General features: G+C 37.0%; 1 protein-coding gene and 1 long non-coding RNA gene across 5 annotated transcripts in view, besides 1 other annotated feature; one reads left to right on the top strand and one right to left on the bottom strand.

Moving 5' to 3' along the window:
- The window catches only part of HMCN1 (hemicentin 1), a 456,559-nt gene that overhangs the window by 1,723 nt on the left and 432,061 nt on the right, over positions 1 to 22,775 (bottom strand). For 3 of the 4 annotated variants that reach the window (NM_031935.3, XM_017002437.2, XM_047431608.1), the window contains 7 exons: positions 22,285 to 22,419; positions 17,777 to 17,890; positions 17,096 to 17,221; positions 14,585 to 14,713; positions 10,461 to 10,811; positions 6,940 to 7,059; positions 1,218 to 1,344 (listed from right to left, as the gene is read on the bottom strand). In NM_031935.3, the coding sequence (NP_114141.2) occupies positions 1,218 to 1,344; positions 6,940 to 7,059; positions 10,461 to 10,811; positions 14,585 to 14,713; positions 17,096 to 17,221; positions 17,777 to 17,890; positions 22,285 to 22,419 (1,102 nt within the window). The remainder of the gene's footprint in view (positions 1 to 1,217; positions 1,345 to 6,939; positions 7,060 to 10,460; positions 10,812 to 14,584; positions 14,714 to 17,095; positions 17,222 to 17,776; positions 17,891 to 22,284; positions 22,420 to 22,775) is intronic. The other variant, XM_011510038.4, reaches the window with a different exon arrangement.
- Positions 524 to 1,723: an enhancer, noted in NCBI's record as "P300/CBP strongly-dependent group 1 enhancer chr1:186156636-186157835 (GRCh37/hg19 assembly coordinates)". NCBI's record gives its function as "activates an origin of replication core promoter dependent on BRD2, BRD4, P300/CBP, MED14 and CDK7 cofactors, with strong dependence on P300/CBP, by STARR-seq in HCT116 cells {active_cell/tissue: HCT116}" and the evidence as "EXISTENCE:reporter gene assay evidence [ECO:0000049][PMID:35650434]".
- LOC105371654 (uncharacterized) lies at positions 3,479 to 5,120 on the top strand. Its single transcript, XR_007066772.1, has 3 exons — positions 3,479 to 3,565; positions 3,972 to 4,049; positions 5,048 to 5,120. It is a non-coding gene; the product is annotated as an uncharacterized LOC105371654 (long non-coding RNA).

Below are 22,775 nucleotides of genomic sequence, written 5' to 3'. Positions count from 1 at the left end.
TAAAATGAAAAGTCAGTTTTGGAAACAAGAGCTTCTGCATATATATTGGAAACAAGTACTTCTTAAAGAGGAATACAAGCTACTTTTTAATTATATAGTATCCTAACACTGTTTAAAAGGTGAAACAAAATATATTGACATTTTTTCTAAAAATAATAAAAGGTCAATTAGGATTTCTGGTGAGAAAGGGGTACTTCTTTTGTAATTGTCGTTCACATTATTGTAGATTAAAAAGCTTTATTTTCTTTTACCAGAGTGCACACTGACTGCTTTTTGAGTCATGATGACTTTTAAATTGTTTGCCAGAAACCGATGGTAATAAAGAAGGGAAAAAATGCACAGAGAACCATTTTATGAAGATAGGATTCTTCAGTAATAGTATTTTTAGAGGTTTTGTTAAGTCTGTATTTTCAATTTTCTCCTTCCTATTCCATGTCCCATCAGACCAATTGCAGATAGGTTTTTGGTGGATTCTGGGCAGTCCACACTTGACTATGCTGCAGTAACTTGGTAAGCATTACCAAGAGGAAAACAAAGTGAGCTCCAGCCAGTATTTGGTTTCAGAAACACCTTCCTATTAGCAGGGCCTATCCAAGAGGAATATTATCACTTGTTTTCAATCACCCTGTTAACTTGGTACCTGGATAGAGTACAACATTTCTGGAAGGGGAGAGAGAAAACAGAATGGTAGTTTATTCAGAATGCAGAAAAGCCTGTTTCAGACAGAAGGAAATATAAGCAAGATGATGTATGAACGGGCAGACAACTGACTCATTCCTCACTCATCTCCGTTCTCAAGGAGCGGTGAGTCAGTGAAGCAACAGAAAAGATGCTTCATGGTGGGCTCTAAGTGTGCAGAGCCCTTACCACCCTGAGGCAACACAACAGAAATGAAAAACTTTAAAGAAAGGCAGGCTCTATCACTCCATCAAACACTTGCTGCTGAGGCAGAACCCACCATGTTACATGTTATATTCTGGGAAGACTGCTCCAGGCAACACTGGCAGCCAAGAGTGAGCTTGGGTGGCAGTGGCTGCTGCAGGATGAGCTCATTTCTTGCCCATTCATTGAAGAGAATACTTACTGTAACCCCACATCTTCCTGGAGTTAGTGACTTCCTGTGAGTTACACATGACAAGAGACTAAAGTTTATGTTGGTCAAGGAGTGGGAGGAAGGATTTTCAAAAGCATGTCTGGGATGAGAAGGCAAGACATACCCTGAAACAGGATCCCGTTGGTAGTTGGGTGGACAGGGTGTATCGATGCACTGGTAGCTTCCTCTCATGTTGAAGCACATGCGATTGGGTCCACAGTGCACATTCTGCTCCAGACATTCATCGATATCTAGGGACAGCACAGGGAACATGCAGCATCAGCAGTGAGGGTGAGAGAAGGCCATCAGAGCAGGCACTGTAGATGTGTGACTAGAATGTGGAGGGCTAGCCTTCTCCTGCCATGAATGAACTTAGTCATACCTAACCTTCTTTAACCACAAAATGGGGATCATGACACCTGGCAGGGTTATTTCCCAGGTTGCCTCGAGCACATATTTCTTTATGTGAAAGGACATAAAAAAAATGAGAGCTATAAAAGTGATGGGGAGATATTAAGAGCTCTCTGGTGCTTTTTATATTTGGGGAATACCTTGCATTTGAGTTTTATAAAGCAAGAAATATTTTAAATGCACTATGAACAAGCCAAAAATTTAAAGGACATTTGTGAATATTTTTTGCAAAGTGAAGAATCTCCTTAAAATGTGAGTGATCCTTGCTGAGTGTTTTGTTTTATAATGTCAAATTGTTGAGTGGAAAATAGGGTCTTAGATATGAAAGGAGTCAAGTTATGAATTCAGGAGAGATGGTACAGGCTAGTCAGATCTTGAGAGAGACAAACAAAGCAGGATCAAATGAGTGGCCCAGGCACTACAATGTAAGCTGATCGAATGGAGCAGTTCACCTTGATCTGGACTGTGTTGAGTCTATCCTCTGTTGTTTGGTAGTGGGATGCTCTCCTTAGGCTAATGGTATGGGGAAAATACGCAAAAGAAATACTCTTTATTTTGTTGTTTTCTACACTAAGTTAAGTAGAAACACACTTAAGTGCTTCCTGAAAGTGTTTTTGAGCCACCACTTTAATTTGGGGTTTATTTTTGGGCATCAGGGGATCTGTGAATGAAAATGTTTGCATGCGTGTGTGTGTGTGTGTGTGTGTGTGTGTGTGTGTGTGTGTGTGAGACAGAGACAGAGAATGTGAGATTGATTGATGGTTGGATTTTCAAGAAAGAGGGTCCATGGAGTTCAATACAATTCTTAAGGAATTTTAAGATCCCAAATGTAAGAATGGTATTTTAGAGCAATGGTTTTCATACTGGGGCATCCTCGTTCCCCTGGTGATACACGAATGTTTTCTAGCAGTATGAATGCAGGCAAATATTTCAGGGAATCAATTCCCATAATCTCATTTTCCATAATTCTCCTCTCTAAAGTCAATTTGCCTGAGAACATCTCATGGCCTGGAGGTCTCTATTCCCATCTCCCTGTTTCCAACCTTCTGATTTACAAAAACAGATTGCAACTAATCTCAGAGGATAAACAGAGAATAAGAATATTGGTAATAAAGACTGATAGAGGTGGCTGGCAGGCCTTATTTTATCATGGCCACAAACCGATGGTCTTAGCTCTCTATTTTATTTTATTTTTTGAGACGGAGTCTCACTCTGTCGCCCAAGCTGGAGTGTAGTGGTGCAATCTCAGCTCATTGCAAGCTCCGCCTCCTGGGCTCAAGTGATTCTCCTGCCTCAGCTACCAGAGTAGCTGAGACTACAGGCATGCGTCACCATGCCTGGCTAATTTTTGTATTTTTAGTAGAGAGGAGGTTTCACCATGTTGGCCAGGCTGGTCTTGAACCCCTGACCTTTGGTGATCCACCCACCTCGGCCTCCCATTAGCTCTCTATTTTAAATTAGATTTCAGAAGTGGGTTGGTTGTCATGGGGACACCTACTAACATTTTTGTTTGAACAGAAAAATCACCTTAGACTTTTTCTGACGGTAAATCTGATTAATTTGACAACGAATACAGACTTTCAAATTATATAGTGGCCATCCTCCCTTAACCGAGAGAGTTAAATCTGAAGCTCTGAAGTTTTCATGAAAATATATTTAAAGCTTGAGCACATTAACATAACAATCTGTATAACAACGCCATAATTCACATCCTTTGCAACTATTTAAACTTATAAGAAACTTTAGTGGTTAATTTTTTAAAGTATGAGTAAAGTATAAGGTTTTCAAAGTCTAAGTCAATTGGCTGCATATAGCATTGGTCCTGAGATACAAGAGGGAAAAATGACAATTAAATGGAGTAAATTGGTTCTCCACAGGTGGGTCCTGACGGTCAAATGCACTTCTATCATGGAAGCTGTGCTGAGAACAGTGTTACTACGATGTCATTGTACAGTAGTACATAATTTGGTAGTTGGATAATGGTATTTATATTGGGACTTGATACAAAAGTAAGCATTTTAGATTTGGCTCCAAACATCTTCTAAGGAAACCACAGACAATGTAAGTATTTATTTAAAACAATAACAGTCTCCACAAAGTAAAAAGATACTGGGTTAGAATGATACGGAGTAAATAACTTTTTAGTTAGTTATATGTGCTGACAATGATGTATATGCTATTACTAGTATTATACTAGGATTAGCTTTCCTACAGGAATGAAACACAATGTGGACAAACTTTTTCAGTGAAGTCTTGCCTACTGCCTCTGTGAAAAAATTTCTAATTATGATTTTATCAGCCAGGAGGGCTTAATCTCCTTGACAAAATAAGATTGTCTCAGTGACTTGAAAAGCCTTCTAGAAAAATGTGAAATTCAATTAGCCTTATCTTCCTTCTCGCATTAAAAAAATTTCTCTTCATATTCATTGTCCACATTTTATCTTATTTTCATCATGAACTCTTGCAGAAACATGAAGCCAGTGGGCTGCAGGGGTCCATGATAGTGGTGTGGAGACTAGAAGGTGGACGCACATCAGTGTGCATAGTAAGTTGTTATTTAGTAGTTACCTTATGATATATTTTCATTGGGTAAATATGAATCTATAAAGAAATATCAGAATCTAATATAGAAATATACACTTTCTATTAAAAAGCTTTCCTAAGTACTGAGGTGCTGGGCAGGTGGCCCTCTTCTGTCTCTGGTCTATTACCCTCTCCTCAGGGTGAAGCATTCTCTCTAGGAATCCAGTCACTCTACTTATTTACTCTACTCACTATTCTTAAAAAAAAGAAGACAGAAAAAGAAATAGAAATTGTGTTGTCTTCTGTTCATGGATGATGTGATGTCTGGTTTCTATTAAATATAAGAATATTATGATTGAAATGAAAGTATTTTGTAACATAAATATTGCTACAAGAAAAGAATCCCAAAATGAGCTGAAAATTTTTATATTAACAGCTTCAGAACATATGAATGTATTTAACCTAGTGCTTCTGAATACTAAAAAATTTAGGATAAACATACTTGAAACATCTGTCTTATAGAAAATATAAGTAATTTAGATTCTTGATAAACATTATGCATTGCATTTTTAAAACACGGATGAATAAGAGCACTTATTTTAAATGCAGTGCTCATAGAATGTTTCCAAATTTTTAGAAGTAGATTAGTGGTGCATAAAATTAGCATAAGGGTCCTTTAGTTTCTCCTCTCTGTGTCTTAGGCAATTCTTGATTGGTCATGCTTTTTGTTTATTTTGCAGTCTAGTGACTTTCACTTTTGACTAGAGTGTCTGTCCTTGTTCAATGTCAAATTCACTTTAATTTCCCTTTTATTATTGACGTTTGTATCAGTAATTTCTAAATCTTTCAAAAAATCATATGCAAATAAAAAGCAGTCTTTGGTTCCTTATAAATGCCTCAAACACTTTCTAAAACTATAAAAAGAATGCAAGTTATTCTTCAGGGCAAAGAAAAAGGCATAATTGTTTTCTCTCAAGTCTTTTTAAAACCACAAAAATATGTAACCCATTTAAATTGCAGACATTTCAAGTGACACCTGTTTCTGATTTGACCACGTCATTTTCCACTCTCTGTAGCACAACTGAAAGCTGAAGAACGTTTTGAACTAAGTGAGTGACAAAGGCAATTAAAAAAAGAAACTGGCACAATTTAGAAAGGGAGAAAAATTCTCTAATGAGAATAAAATCTGGCTAAGGGGTTGTGCGTTTTGAGTGGTTATTCCAAATGCTTCGGTATCTGCCCTGTTGCCTTCCTTGGTGCCTGGGGTACCTGGAGGGGGTGTGGTTTTAGTGTGGGCATCGCCACTCCTTCAGGAAGACTCTTGGGTTGAAGAACTGGGGAAAAGTGGTAATATCTGGACAAAGTGCCCTCACCCCATCCTGCCGCCTCAGTGCAATGCTCCTGGTGCTCACAGCATCCCAGGAGACAAAGGACTATTCTAGACATATAGATCTGAGGTCAAGTCCTACCTCTGCTCTTGATTATTCTAGGACATTAAGGCTCACATAATCACTCTGATAATTAGTTTTAGAATGGGTACAAATTATCTAATGGGTGCCCATTAGAATGGGTGCAAATTATTGCCCTTGACATATTTATACTGCTGATTAAAGTGAAATAACAGTTGCTTTGGAAAAAGGTAACAATATGATTAAATAAATTATTCCAGTACTTTAAATCTGAGTAAAACTCTCTGCATGGGGTAGGTTCTTAAGAAATATTTGGTGACTGATGGCCCAAAGCGAAAGTTATTACTCAACTTCATGTTTCATCTCTGGCCCACATGACCCAGTGGGGGCCCTCAGGGAGTGTGAATGAGTAAATGGGTGGGGTAGGGTGGTGTGGGATGAGGTGGCAGTGTTCACAGTAACTAGGGTGAAGCCATTGTCCACCTTGGTTTTGCCTCCTGGGACCCATTTTCCATAAGCTGCATTGCAGCAAGTCTTTTGTGAATCCCATAAAGAGAAAAAAATTCAATCTAAATTTGATTGCTGCTGATAAAGCACTCTTTTGGAGCTTTTATTTGCTATACTTTACAAAAGGATATAATTTTCCATGACACAAATTAATACAGTTCAAAAGCTTATTAAGACCCACATAATACTCCTAGATTTTGTCTACAAAATTCAAGGGTTTCTTAGAAGATTTTTAGGAGCTATACAAGTTCTTATTTCTCCTTAATATAAGTACATGTTGCAATATAATCAACTTTACCAAATTACAATGCTCCTTTCACATTTTTGTGTAAAAAGGGAACCACTGAGATTGATGTTTTATTCTTTGTCATTGCTATATCTTGCCCAAAACTCTGTTATAAAACCAATGAGCTATATTTTGTTTGTTTTATTTACATGTCTGTCTCCACTAGACTGTAAACTCTTAAAGGGGAAGACTCTATCTTATTTATCTGTTTAAATCCTGCAATGCTAGCACATAATTGTTCCACATCAATGTAGACTCAACGAATGAATGAATCATTTAATTGACTACCAAACTGATCACTTTAAAAATAAGTTTAATAAGAGGGACAACATATAAAATAATATCTAACACTGAAGTAAATTTACTGAGTAACCTTCTCATTTTTCACTTCCATTTTAGTGGAATTGTAAAAAAGTTTGAAGAGATCTATTCCCATTAAGTTTTAAAAATATATAATATGAACTGGCTTAGGCATTCTTGCTCCTTCTAGTAAGACCATACCAAAAATGTTTCTCAGCTATTTTCTTTGCTTGCTTCCTCTCCCATTGCTTCTCCTGCTTGCAAAAGCAATGTCTGAACATAATTCTGACCCACGGGAATGGGTAAGAAGGGGAAGCCACTAGGAGAATGATTATTGAAAAAAAACTTCTCACACTCTCTGTTGGTTTTTAGTCAAGTTTGCAACAATAAACATCCCAATGTTTTCTCACCTTGGCATGTCTTTCCATTGTGTGTGAGTTGATAGCCAGGTGGGCAGATGCACTGATAACTTCCAAAGGTATTCTTACACTCATGCTGGCAGGCATCTGTATTTTCACATTCATCAATATCTGTTCAGGAAGAAGACAGAGAGTTATCACTACACAAGAAAAAAGCAGACACTGTGACAGAGCCAACTCTCATCAAGTTGTTGATATACATTAGAAAAACTTCTTGGTGATTTTATACTCATGTGTTAAAAAATGCTCAGAGCTATTTTCTATGAAGATACTTTTATGTTATAAAAATACTGAATATAGTACTATATACACAGTACTATATTACAAATTATGGACATTTCTTTGTGTAAGCACATATATGCTGAAGTCCCAAACGGGTCAATTTTTATATTACTTAAGTAAGAGTGACATGACAGAGGAAACAAATGTAGACAGGATCCTAAACCACCAAAATATGAAACTCTTTAAGGAATAGTAGAAATTACCTGAAATACAATATTCCTATTGAGATTACTTGCAAAAAGGACTATTTGTTTTTATTGTATTTAAACTTTGGCTCTCTTTCTCTCTCCCTGCAGCCCCACTCATGCATAGCTTTCCCATACACAGATATCACATGGAAATGTTTTTTATTTTTGTGACAAAAATACTCTTTTTTTATACAATTCAAACGTACTAATGACAAGTACATACATATATAGTTGTGTTACCTTTGGCAGGCCATTTAACTTCTCAAGATCTCATTTATTCTTCTGTTAAAAGGGACACTTGAGACCATCTGCCCTACTTCACAGTTTTGTTGAAAGGTTCATATACAGTAATATGTGGGAAAGTAGTCTATAAAGGGCTATCTGCTATTATTAAACAAAGCCATGAAAATGGCAAAAAAAGGAGGGTGAGAATAGATGATAATTCAAAATTAATTGATATTTGCTTTAAGGATAAAGTATGTGATTTGGGAGGCTGAAGATTTCTTGTCCCAGTGGTGTTTTGCTTTAACTAAAATTAAAATTTGCTCATAGTCTCTGAGCATACACCAACCAGTGGAAGACTAGTTAACCAAAGTGTTGATTCTATGACTTGTGTGAGTTTTTACTTCTTTCCTTTAAAATCAGCTTTAACCTAAAATAACAGAAATGTAAATGATGTTGAACTCCAAGTTGTTAGCACAGAGCTTTCCCAAGCATGAATTTTACACTACCCCCAAGTGTGATTTCTGCATTCAGAAGCAATGCAATGGTCATTTTTCCTGTTATGCTTTAGAATCAATTTCTTCAAAAACTAAACTTTAGCCCAAGCCTAACAAGATTTCATAGTGTTAATTTGAATCTTTTATAACTTGTCTGTCCCAGATAGTTCATTAAAAGCATTTGGTGCTTATTGCAAGTTGGTCTTGTTGTGTAATACCAAAGCTGTAGGCAGTCTTACTGTATATTTCTTCATTAGTCCCAATACTATAAAATACCATATTTTAAGAAATGTTTAAGCCTATGAATTGCCTCCAAAGAAACTTAAATATCCAGTAATGGACTAGCTATAAATTTTTACTTTAGATTCTCCAAGATTGACCCTTACTGTGAAAGAGTGGCTGCCTCAAATAGCAGATGACTGTCTGAGGAAGACGATTGTGATAACATAACATTGGTTTAACATAAACGGAAGACAGAAAACATTTATAAGACTCTACTATGATGAAACTGCAGCCATAGATAGTGATGAAGAAGTAGAGAAGTGGGTTATTAATCAGGAAGCTTTCTTAAAATAACTTGGACCTTCTGATAATTTGGAAGAAACCAGCTAATGGTGTATAGTGTGGAGGGTGTGGCTAAATTTATTTTTCATAACACAGATTTTTGGGCAGGAAAGTAAAGGTAGAACAAAAGAAAGTGCTTGTCTAAAATGAAGGTTGAGAATGGGATGGTAACCTATTACCTAGGCTGTGAAAACCCTCTAGTGGGGATGACTATTTGGAAGAAACTTTGAAAGACAAAATATCAGATGTTAATTCTGTCAATAAGAGAATAGTGAACAACTTTAATGAAGAGTCAGATCAAAATTGTGGGCATAAAATTTCCCAAAACTCAGAACAGTTTGTAGCAGATTGACAGTGTTGTTTAATATACTAGCAAGAATACTGGAGTCCACATATTTAGCAATTAAACAGTATTTGACCACGTGGGACAAAATGTAGAGAATTGTTAATGCATTAATGTTTGGTGGTAGAAGAAATGAGCACTGTCAACAATTCTGGTAAGCTAATCACGAGGGAGAAGTTTCCACATCCCTTATATTAAGCTGCAGATACATCAGGGTAAAAAAGACAGAAAAGTGCTGGAAAAAATATGAACCTAAAAAGCAAAGGGTAAAGTTTGAGTGTCCAGAGGGACTGAGGGCCCAACTGAGTGGAGATGATATGGGAAGATGAATCCACCTAAGGTTGACCAAGAAGTCCATCTGAGAAGATAATAATGAAGTAACAGGGCTTGGGCAAGGGTAGAAAAAGAAACAAAAAAAATTGAAGATAGAAGGAGAAGAAATGTTTAAAAAATGTTTAGCAAAAAGCATAGTTAAGAGAGTAAGCAAAGTGTAGAACGCTTTCCAGAAATGTAAGAAAATGAGGCTGGCATAGTGGGCTTTGAATTTAAACGGAATTTGTTTCTTCCCTCCCTCTTTACTTCTCTCCTATGTTCTTTCTTTGCTTATTTTTTCCAGCTAACAAATAGTAAAACTAATTCCTGCTTGCTAATTCCCCTTGAGTAGGTCAATGACATGCTAATTGTAGATGTTCACAGAAAATTGAGTTAAATGAGTGACAGATGGTAATGTTTGCAACTCGACTGAAAACAAGGTCTCAATTCTTAAGTGGGAAATTATACTTCACTTTTGCAAACAAATGGAATTATAGACTTGTGAATTTAGATAAAGATACTGCAAGCACATATTTCAGAGTGATAGAAACAACTTAATTTTGTCCCAACTCATATTATCTTTTCAGTGACGTACAAACATACACAATAATCAAACAGCAATTCCACGAGGACTGTGGAGCAACAGTCAATGGGATGTTGGTTGTTATACAGAACAAGCAGTCGACCGAGAAGCTGAAACTTTCACTTTTAAACCACTGCTTTTCCATCAATCCGATGTGGCCATAATCTGATGGCATTACGTTATGTGGCAATATTTACATCCTCTTTTAAATAAACTACATTCTGGATGCCACTGAAATTTATTTCTATTTAGTATTAAGTTTAGTAACACCTTCAGGGTGACCAAAAAGAAACTGACTATAACACAATAAATTATTAGAATGCCCACATGTAAATCCATAATTCACTTGACTCAAGTCTGTAATAGTTTTAGGTGCCAAAATAAATGTCTTGAAATTTTGAGTCATTCCGAACTTGAGATCAGATGTAGTTCACTGCACTCAAACAATCACAGGTGCTGTACACATACTTTGATCAGTAAGAGAGCCCACAGAAAGGAAATGTAATATGGCTGACATTTACCTACACATGTGTCATGGCTTGCCTCAGAGCCTTCAGGGCAAGTTTTCCTAATAGTCCTTCTAGTCCTGGAGAGAGATGTTCTGCTGTTTCTATACTCTGAGTAGGAGCTGTAGAGATGTGAGTACTGTCTGTAATGCTGTTGAGGTTGATAGTTGTTTCTCACAGGGGAGAACCGTGCAAGGTTATAGCTACTGTATTGAGTGCCATAATTTGGCAGCCTCTCCAATCCAGCGCAAGATTTCCCGTCCCCTAATAAATGTTGTCCTGGTGGACAGATACACTTGAAGCTGCCGGGGGTGTTGGAGCACTGATGTGCACAAGGTTTAGGCACTTGTTCACATTCATTAATGTCTGCTCGTATGCCATGATATAAAAAAGAAAAAAAAAGACACATACATACACACACAAAACACAGGAATAAAGAATGAGTCTGTGAAACAAACTGAAGACATTGTTACCCTCCAAAGCCAGGCATACAGTAATTTCTCCTCAACTGTTGTGAACTTTTGACAAAGCTTTAATCATTCAGTTATGAACATAGGACAGATTCTGCAAATCTCCCCCTAAATACTATATTATATCCACACATTTTATTTGAACATTCACATTGAAGCAAGTGGCTCAGACAACAAGACACACTAGTTCTGTAAGTTCATACCCCTTTGACTCACTTATGATGGCCTTAAGACCTAGGGAGCTCTGTTTTCAGCCTTGTCTCCTTGATCAGTTTAAGCTACTTTGGTATACATTTTTACACGTAATTCTAAGAGTAACATTAAGATTTTAAATCTTAGAAATACTACACTAAGCTTTCTTAGTTCAACTAGGCAGAGACATCTTAAATTGTTAAAATTTGTGTATCTTCCTCTGGAAAAAAAAAAGGTACAAGAGAGTGTGGAATCACAAATGAATATAATTTTCATCAAACTTCACTTATAAAAAAGTCTCAAGATAGTACCTCTTAATACAATCATACGTGTACATTTGGGAAATTTCTCTCTTGTTTTTTCTCTTTTGACAAATATTTCAGATGGAATTCAGATTTTTCTACTGGTTGACAATGTTGGAAGCTTTCTAATATGTCCACATATAATTTTAAAAAAGTAACTACTTTTATGTTTATTTTAAAATTTTTATTTAAATGACTTGGTCTTTCTGCAAGCATCTTTGCCCTCCTAATTCTCCACATAGCAGCCAGAGTGATCTTTTCCAAATGTAAACCATATCATATTGCTTGTCTGCCCAAGACCTTTCATGTTTTCCCATCACATTCTTTATTATGGGCTCTTCATCCTCCTTACCCTCTGCCTACCTTTGCTCCAACAGCCTGACCCCTTGGTTCTTCCTTGATTATGGTCAGTGCATTCTTTTCTGAATGACATTGCCCTGGCTTCTCCTCAGCCTGAAATACACTCGCTCAGACCTTCCCATCGTGGCTGCTCTCTCTTTTTTTTTTTTTTTTTGAGATGGAGTTGCTCTGTTGCCCAGGCTGGAGTGCAGTGGCATGATCTCGGCCCACTGCAACCCCTGCCTCCTGGGTTCAAGGGATTCTCCTGTCTCAGCCTCCCAAGTAGCTGGAACTACAGGTGTGTGCCACCACGCCCAGCTAATCTTTTTTGTATTTTTGACAGAGACAGGGTTTCACTGTGTTAGCCAGGATGGTCTTGATCTCCTGACCTCGTGATCCACCCGCCTCGACCTCCCAAAGTGCTGGGATTACAGGTGTGTCCCACCACGCCCAGCTAATCTTTTTTGTATTTTTGACAGAGACAGGGTTTCACTGTGTTAGCCAGGATGGTCTTGATCTCCTGACCTCGTGATCCACCCGCCTCGACCTCCCAAAGTGCTGGGATTACAGGCGTGAGCCACCACACCTGGCCTGCTCTTTCCTTTTGTCCAGTCTCTCAGAGAGGCTGCCTGGATCACAGTGCTACCACCCCAATCTGGGTCTCTCTTTTATGTTTTATGTTTCCTTTCCTTTTATGTTTTATGTTTTATGTTTCCTTATGTTTCTCTGTTTTATGTTTCCTTAAAGTGCTTATCACTATCTGAAATTGTATATTTGTTTTGTGATTCTTCTTTCTCTCCCTGGAAGGTAAACTCCACGAGGACAGAGACCTGGTCTGCCCTGTTTAGCAATGTATTCCCACAACCTAGAACATCATCCAACACAAAGTAGGTGCTCAATAAACATTTGTTGAATTAATGAAGGAATGGGTTTGATATCATGTGCCAAATCAAGCTGTGAACAGTAGAAACAAAAAAGATCATATGGGAATACGTAGTCTTAAATACACGAAAACCAGAGTTCAAAAGCTAATGTAGATCTTAATTCTATCAGCAGAAGCAGAAATGAAATCACATCTCTAGTTTGTATTTAGTTATAATATTGGTAACTAGTGTCTCTAATCTTCCATACCATTATAAGTTTTAGAGGTAGGAATACTGGCAAAACTACAGACTTTAAAATTTTATTTTCTGAATTAATAATTTTGAATTAATGAACAAGCCAAGCACATTTTCCCCCAACAGATTAAAATCAAGGAAACAAGGACATAGAATCAGTTCTTACTAAGATATAAACTCACCAAACACATAAAATTTTAAAAAGTTATTTTCTTTCTATTGTTAGGTCAACACATGGAATCTGTACTTGCAATTCTTCCTATAAATTGGAAAAGGGAATGAAAACCAAATTCTTTAATTCATTACCACAGTGGCATGAAAGAAAACAATACAGGAAGGTAGAATAAAATAGTAAATTTTGCTTTAAAAACTATTTTAGTAGGTAAAAATTAATACTTTAACTCCTTTCTCTTTTTTTGAGACAGTTTCTTTAACTCTTTTCTTTCTTTCTTTTCTTTTCTTTTCTTTCTTTTTTTTTTTTTTTGAGACATAGTTTCACTCTTATTGTCCAGGCTGGAGTGCAGTGATGCAATCTCGGCTCACTGCAACCTCCACATCAAGAGATTGTCTTGTCTCAGCCTGCCGAGTAGCTGGGATTACAGGCGTGAAGCACAGTGCCCAGCCATTTTAACTCTTTTATTGAGGCAATGGTTCTGCATTCTTCCTTGTTTTACTCCCTAGCACAATGTCTGAGATCCAGCTGGTGGCCAAATTGGTGAATAAATACAACTATTTCATTCTGAAAAGTCACGGTTATGGCTGATCAAGATGTTAAACTATATATAAATGATAATATCTAAATAGAAGACTAAAATGATGATCTGTATTCCTGTTATTAAAAAGCATTTTCTTTTAAAAGAGTTTCTAGTAATGGTATTAGTTTGAACATTTGGTACATACAAAATATTATGCTAGGGATTGCATAAAGACAGAGCTAAGTCTTTTTGGGAGAATTTGCTATAAATAATCATTAAGTGGACAAGAAGGCAACCAATTTGAAAAGCATAGCGTGAAACCCAGAAGCTAGTATTTAAAAGCCCACAACATTATTTTAGTGCAATTGAATATTCTAAGGAAGACTACAATTTGATAGATCAGTTTCTTGATTATAAATGCATTAATTTTTACCAAAAGTATGTGGTTATCTTACAGATATTTTCTATTTGCCTTCATATTCAAATATAACTAAGATGAAAACAAACAGGCAACTGGGGAGAAATGAGATATTTTTAGCAAAGGGAACAGCACACAGTAAGCATTAAATATATGATAAAGTAATTATCCATTTATTTAAATTGTGTGTCCCTATTTTAATACCTCACACCTAAACTTTCATACTACATACAAATATACTTCATGCTCAAATAAAATGTATCTATGCAAACATTTATGTCATGTGCATAGAGATATAATCAATGAGATAATCTTGATAATTAAGTTGTGATGGCAATTATATCAGAACCTCACTTTGATATGTGTGGTGTATAGCAAGCACAGAGTAAGTGATTATTATCACTTGAAATGTCAGTGTAAATTGAGCTCAATATGAAGTCTCTGAAGAAGTATCCAAATTGTGTTGAATGACGTAAATCAATTCACATACCTTATTATTGTAACAAGAGACCATTTGAGGATAGAGAAAGTGGCCCTAAGCGAGTTGGTAAGGCTAGGTAACTACATCAGTAGCTTTATTGCTCAACAAGTTCCTATTAACTTACCCATGCAGGGTCTTCCAACTCCTTGAGACCGATAACCTCTTGGGCATACACAACGATAGCTGCCTCTTGTATTCTCACATATCTGGTTATATCTGCACTGATGGGTCCCATCTTTACATTCATCAATATCTACAGACATGGAGGCAATGAGAAGTAACATTTCCTCTTTCAAACCCAAAGTCATTGTATTTAAAGTCAGCATTCTGTAGAATTGCCAAAGGTTGCATTTCTCACCAAGTGGTTGAGATCATACCAGCTTACAACTTGGAATCAGAAAACCTGGGTTCAAGTCCCAGCTCTGCCACTTATTAAATGGCTGCTTTTCCTCCTCCTGCTCCCTACTATGGAGAGAGTTTTATTCACAGATTTCTTTTTTTCTCCTTCTCTATATCCCTTCCTCCTTTTGCCATCTTATTTATACAAGTGATTAGAGTTTAGGCAGATTGAGAGCAATAGTGCTACATTGCTTCTGATCTACAGTCCCATGTTTCTAGCTGCTAGCTGGACATCCCCATCTCTCTTTGTTTTACCACTAGTTCAAACCCAGCACACCCTCAATGCCTTAACCTTACTCCCCTATTTGTGATAACAGCAGGCCTGTGTTTCAAGTCCATCAAGCTTTAAATGATAAATTATGTTCTGTATTCCTGCTATGGAAAAGCATTTCTTTTAAAAGAGTTTCTAGTAATAGTATTAGTTTGAACATTTGCTATATACAAAGTACAATGGTCAGTCATCTTTAACTTATTCTCTCAGTTGCCAAGATTGGGTAGTTCTATTTCCTTCAATCAAAACCATGTATCTCCACATTTCCATTCCCACTTAGCTAGATTTTTGCTGTAGCTTCTTAAAAAGTTTCTGATCTTTCAACTCATGTCTAGTTAAGCTTATACATAATTAGGGCCAATATTCTGAAAAATATTTACAGTTGCATGTAACTGTACATGATGCTCTGAGTTGGCTGCTACTTTTTTTTTTTCTTTTTTCTTTTTTTTTTTTTTTGAGATGGAGTCTCGCTCTGTCACCCAGGCTGGAGTGCAGTGGCATGATCTTAGCTTACTGCAACCTCTGCCTGCTGGGTTCAAACGATCCTCCCACCTCAGCCCCCAGAGTAGCTGGGACTATAGGCATGCGCCACCATGCCCAGCTAATTTTTGTATTTTTAGTAGAGATGAGGTTCCACCATGCTGGCCAGGCTGGTCTAAAACTCCTGACCGAGTTGGCTGCTACTCTTAAATGATAAGGAAAGTATTGACCTATATCTATAGTGTAAGAGCTGAAACAAGTCTTTGAAATCTGATACTTCAACTCCCATCACCAGTTGTTGTTTTTTTAAATTATACTAAACCACCATGAACTTAACAACTATCAACAAATGGCCAATATTCCTTCATCTATATCTATCTCCCACTCCTATCATATTGTTCTGAAACAAATCCAAGATACAATAATTTTATTAATATTTTATAATTGATTTTTAAAAGAAAAACTGTACTATTTTTACAATGAGAAACTTAAAATCAAATTTCTGTGTAATCATAAGACTTGTCCAAGGTTAGATAGCTGTCAAGAAGGAACAATGAATTTTAACACTTTATGCTTAAGTTCAGCTCTTTCTCCCTTATACAAGGCTTTCTTGCTTTCCTTTTTCTGTCATCTCCATCTAGTAACATCCCAACCTATATTTAAATGTGATCATTTTCATGACCTCCTTCATAGTGACTCCTACTGGATACAGTCACTCTCTTGGGTATTCCTGTAGAATTTTATTTGTTCCTCTTTATGGTGTTTCATTCTCCTCATATTATAGGTCTTTGCTTTTTTGGGGGGAGGGGGTATAGTGGAGTAGGCCAATTTAACCCATAAATTATTTCTTTCTCCTGTGTTTTTTAGCAGGAATGAGAATGGGAATGGTATCTCTCTTTTATTTTTGTAAATCCTGCAGTTGCTAGCTCTGCTAACCAGGCTGGTACAGCCTAGACATACACAGAACAAATGTAGGGAGAACTATAATGTACCTTTGTGTCTGGTCATTGATGTAGACTAGACAGGCAAAGCATAAATTTTGGGCAAATTATTTATTTTATTTGTCTGGTCATGGATTTGATATTTAAGGAATATACATCTCCAAAATAATTATATTTTGAATTTTAATCTCTACAGACATAATTTTTCTTTCCCCCAAGAAATTCTTAACATATATGCTAAATTTCTATTAGAAATCATGTGAGATAATATTAATGCTTGTGGATATTAAACTATGTAAACCAAATGTTTAATTGATGGGAGCTCAAAATGGTCATAAGTTTTCATAGTGAGCTTCCATTTCCGGGTACAGCCATGACCCTGGGACCTGGAGCTCAATTATCCTAGAAGTTGGGAGTACTTATGGAAAAAGAAAGATTTCCTTGTTAGCTTAAATTTACTCTAATCACTTCTTTTAAAATGAATGCCTTACTTGACTTGTTGACGGCAAACTGATCTCAGTCACGGAAACAGCCAGACACTCACCAATACAGGTTCCATTTTCTGCCTTGGTCATTCCATTTGGACAAAGATCAATGCACTTATAGCCACCACGGGTGTTCTTACAGTGCTGATCTGGTCTGCATACATTTTGTCTACACTCGTTCACATCTTGATAAAAGAACAAAGGTAATGTAGATTAAGAAAATTATTTATTCAACTTTTCCAGAGAAATCATACTTTTGGATTTTAGGGATATTATTTATATATACATTCATTGCATAATCATTGTGTAAGGTTAAAGTGCTTAAATTCAACAATGTATGTAACACACTTTAAAATATAATAAAAATCAAAAACAAACACAAAATATTGTTTTACAGAGCAGGTAGCCATACCAATCATTTTCTCCTCTTAGAAAAATAAAATTTATATATACTAACTTCATTTGTATACATATATATGTACATACATATATTTATATGTATAGATATACTTTTGCAAAAATATTAGAGGAAATGTTATGAAGAATGGGTATGTAATTAGAAAAAGAAACTCATAAAACAGCATTTTTTGTCATTTTGGTTTTGCATGGATTGCATACATGCTGCATGCTTGATGTCCTATATAGGAACCAGTACCAAGACACAGTGTATGCATTTAGATCAGACATCATTAAGAAGTTATAGAGGTGTCATTCCTTTAAATTCAAAGCCCTTTTCTTACCCATGCATTTTCTGCCTTTGAGCTGATACCCAGGTTCACATCCACAATGGAAACTTCCTATGGCATTGAAACAGCGCTGGTGACAGGGGCTGGATTCTTGACATTCATTAATATCTGTTAAATAAAACAAAACTTTCATTATATGCTATTAGGAAACCTGAATTTATCCCAAATGTTTAACATTTTAATGATCTTGATCATTACCATGTTTAAGATCTTCTCTAAAACCTATCCAATATATTGCACTCATGTGATCTGCCAAATACTTGATAGAATTAATTGTTGGAGAGGGTATCTCCCTTCAATACTCTTAAAAGTAGACAACTGCTAATGACACATAACTATGTCAATGAAACACTCTTCTACTTTAAGTATTTTGCCATATGGCTCTCACTCCTGTTTCTCGGAAGTTCCAGTCCTGGAATGTTACTGACAGACTGGGATGCTGAAGACAGAGGGAAAAAACTCCAACAACACTAAGGTCTTTTGCAATTGTCCTTTCTTCCCCTTTCTTGTTGCTACTAGCTTGGTGCAAGTCTTTATCACCCTGTGCCTGACTGCATCAACATCAGCATTTCTCTACATTTGGCAGTCACTGCCACATTGTACTTCCCAAACACCATCTGGGTCATAGTGTAACAAAAACAGTGTGCAGGCATGAACTCCTCAAACTCTTGGGGACTTGCCTGTGGTTTGTGTACCTTCTTTCCTTTACTTTCCTTTCCTCCAGTCCTGGAGGAAGAAAGCCCTCTTCTCTCACTGAAGAAAAGTCCCCCTATTTGAGCTTTTGAGCTCTGCAGCCCATCTTACCCTTCCTCACCAAGATGAGGACTGTAGTCCATCAATCATTCCCTCCTCCTATGCATTTTAAAAGTCCTTCCAGTCTATCACTGATGGGCATTTGGGTTGGTTCTATGTCTTTACTATTGTGAATAGTGCTTCAATAAACATACGTGTGCATGTGTCTTTATAGTAGAATGATTTATAATCCTTTGAATATATACCCAGTAATGGGATTGGTGGGTCAAATGGTGTTTCTGGTTCTAGATCCTTGAGCAATCGCCACACTGTCTTCCACAATGATTGAACTAATTTATACACCCACCAACAATGTAAAACATTCCACCTGCCAAATACTTGATAGAATTAATTGCTGGAGAGGGTATCTCCCTTCAATACTCTTAAAAGTAGACAACTGCTAATGACACATAACTATGTCAATGAAACACTCCACCTCCTCTCCAGCATCTTATTGTTTCTCCACCTCCTCTCCAGCATCTTGTTGTTTCCTGACTTTTTAATGATTGCCATTCTAACTTGCGTAAGATGGTATCTCATTGTGGTTTTGATTTGCATTTCTCTAATGACCAGTGATGATGAGCTTTTTTTCATGTTTGTTGGCTGCATAAATGTCTTCTTTTGAGAAGTGTCTGTTCATATCCTTTGACCACTTTTTGATGGTTTTTTTTTTTTCTTGTAAATTTAAGTTCCTTGTAGATTCTGGATATTAGCCCTTTGTCAGGTGGATAGATTGCAAAAATTTTCTCCCATTTTGTAGGTTGCCTGTTCACTCTGATAGTTTCTTCTGCTGTGCAGAAGCTCTTTAGTTTAATTAGATCGCATTGTCAATTTCGACTTTTGTTGCCATTGCTTTTGGTGTCTTAGTCATGAAGTCTTTGCCTATGCCTGTGTCCTGAATGGTATTGCCTAGGTTTTCTTCTAGGGTTTTTATGGTTTTAGGTCTTACGTTTAAGTCTGTAACCCATCTTGAGTTAATTTCTGTATAAGGTGTAAGGAAGGTGTCCAGTTTTAGTTTTCTGCATATGGCTAGCCAGTTTTCTCACCATTTATTAGATAGGGAATCCTTTCCCCATTGCTTGTGTCAGGTTTGTCAAAGATCAGATGGTTGTAGATGTGGTGTTATTTCTGAGGCCTCTGTTCTGTTCCATTTGTCTGTATATCTATTCTGGTACCAGTACCATGCTGTTTGTTACTGTAGCCTTGTAATATAGTTTGAAGTCAGGTAGTGTGATGCCTCCAGCTTTGTTCTTTTTGCTTAGGATTGTCTTGGCTATACGGGCTCTTTTTTGGTTCCACATAAAATTTAAAGTAGTTTTTTCTAATTCTGTGAAGAAAGTCATTGGTAGCTTGATGGGGATAGCATTGAATCTGTAAATTAAATTGGGAAGTATGGCCATTTTCACAATATTGATTCTTCTTATCCATGAACATGGAATGTTTGTGTCCTCTCTTATTTCCTTGAGCAGTGGTTTGTAGTTCTCCTTGAAGAGGTCCTTCACATAAAATGTGGCACATATACACCACGGAATACTATGCAGCCATAAAATGGATAAGTTCATGTCCTTTGCAGGGACATGGATGAAGCTGGAAACCATAATTCTTGGCAAACTAACACAGGAACAGAAAACCAAATACCACATGTTCTCTCTCCTAAGTGGGAGTTGAACAATGAGAACACATGGACACAGGGAGGGGAATATCAGGCACCAGGGCCTGTTGAGGGATTGGGCGGGGGTTAGGGGAGGGATAGCATTAGGAGAAATACCTAATGTAGGTGACGGGTTGATGGGTGCAGCAAACCACCGTGGCACGTGTATTGCTACGTAACAAACCTGCACTTTCTGTACATGTATCCCAGGACTTAAAGTATAATAAAAAAAAAAGTCCTTCCTTCTTATAGTCTTCTTTCCAATAAACCTGTAGATATAATCAAAATTTTCCTCTCATAACCAAATCCCTCTCTCAGGTCTATACTCATCTCCAGTTCCTGCCACTTCTGTCTTGCTATATTCCAAACTCTTCAAAAGAAAAATCACCATAGTTGGGCTCTTCACTTCCTCACCTTACATTCCAGATTGCCAATGTCTCTTATTGTGTACTGTTTTCTATTTGACATCTTTTAATTTAACCTCTCAAAATCTACAATGTGTTAACTTAACTTACAGAAACACAGATGTGATCATATACTTTTTTTTTTTTTTTGAAACAGAGTCTCTGTCACCAGGCTGGAGTGCAATGGCATGATCTCAGCTCACTGCAACTTCAGCCTCCTGGGTTCAAGCGATTCTCCTGCCTCAGCCTCCCAAGTAGCTGGGATTACATTTGTCAGCCACTGCACCTGGCTGTGATCACATACTTTTAAAAGATTTTTCTTAGTGCAGTTTTTTTTTCTTCCTCTTCCTCTTTTGGTTGGGCTCCCTTCTCCCTTTTTACCTTTCTTGCCCACCAAAGGCAAACATTAACTATCTAGTATGAATAATAATATATTTCTTCTGCAGCCACATAAATATCTCCACCTAAATATATAGATCCATTTCCTTTTTTCTTTGGTTGTTTCCAGTTACATACTCTTTTCTGCAAAATTATACATACCTTCCTACATCTGGATTTTTCTCATGGATGCACAATGGTTCATGGGTGTAGATGTACCATGCGTCATTTATTGATAGACATTCAGTTTTGGATCCACTGTCTTTTCCTCTATGAAAAATCCTGATAGCAGCTTTGTTTATATTTGCCTAAACTTGGAGGCAATTGAGATGTCCTTCACTAGGTAGATAAACTGTTCTATCTAGATAATGGAATATTTATTATTGAGCAATTAAAAGAAATGAACTATCAAGCCATGAAAAGGGGTGGAGGAAACTTAAATGTTACTAAGTGAAAGAAGGCAATCTAAAAAGTCTGCACAATTGTATGATTCCAACTATATGACATTCTGGAAAAAGGCAAAACCACAAAGACAGTAACAAGATCAGTGTTTGCCAGAGGTTGGAGGAAACAGACATGATTCGGTGAAGAACAGAGAATGTTGAGGGCAATGAAACTATTCTGTACCACACTATCATGGTGGATACATGTTGCTATAAATTTTTGCAAACCCATAGAATGTGCAACACCAAGAGAAGCTTAATCTAAGCTAGACTCTGAGTGATAATGATGTGTCAGTGTAAGTTTATTGACTGTAACAAACGTACCGCCCTGGTGTGAGATATTGATAGTGAGGAAGGCTGTGTGTGTGGAGGGAAGGGGTTATATAGGAATCTATGTACTTTCTACTCAATTTTGCTGTGAACCTAAAACTGTTCTAAAAAATAGCCTATTAAAAACATCATTCAACAAACATTCTGGCAGTCTTACGCAATGGAATTTTATGAAATAGATTTTATTGGACTGTGCAGTATGATCTCAATCAAATGGTAACAGGCAAATGGTCACTCAAAACCACTGTGCTATACATATTTAAAATAGCTGTGGAATATATCTGAATAAAAGCTTATGAAGAAGCTCAACTTATAAAACATATAAAATGAAGTTTAAGTCCTCCGGAGAGACAGGAGTCCCTCTTGCTGGATATCTCCTCATTCTCTCCCTTTTATGTGGTCCCTTCCTCGTGGAGTTTCTGAGACAGTTAACTTTTGAGGAGTCAAAAGGTGGGTCTAATTCTTACTGTCATGAACATAAAGAAAAGGCCTCCATTTTTATACCTTGACAACTCAGCCCATCAGAGGTTCTTCGAAAGCCACTTCCACAACGGACCACACAGCGATAAGATCCAATCGTATTGTCACAGTCCTGACCAGCGTGGCAGGTATGCCTACCCAAAGCACACTCATCAATATCTGCAACAGAGGGAATCATTCAACTGAGGTGAGCTGAAGAACACCCAGCCCAAGAACCTGCGGTGAAATAGGGATACAAAAAGCAGTGAAGGACCCTTGAAACTAGAAAAGAACAAGAAGGACTAAAGTTTTTGGTTGAGTCACATCAGGTGGGCTAAATAGCTGACAAACTCACAGCAGCACAGTGTGATTAATATCTTCATAGACTGACAGATTAATCAGACCACTTATAAATTAGGTGGCTTTTAAGAAGTTACTTCTCCTTTCTGAGATCTTGAGTGAGATGCTCCAGGCATTCCTGCCTTGAGAGTGCCCCACATGCAGGCAGTGCATGAACAGTGTTCCTGCTTTCTTAC

This window comes from Homo sapiens, chromosome 1 (assembly GCF_000001405.40).
Source record: "Homo sapiens chromosome 1, GRCh38.p14 Primary Assembly".
Taxonomy (NCBI): domain Eukaryota; kingdom Metazoa; phylum Chordata; class Mammalia; order Primates; family Hominidae; genus Homo; species Homo sapiens.
The sequence above is the reverse complement of the archived record's forward strand: the minus strand, read 5'-3'. Positions and strand labels throughout refer to the sequence as shown.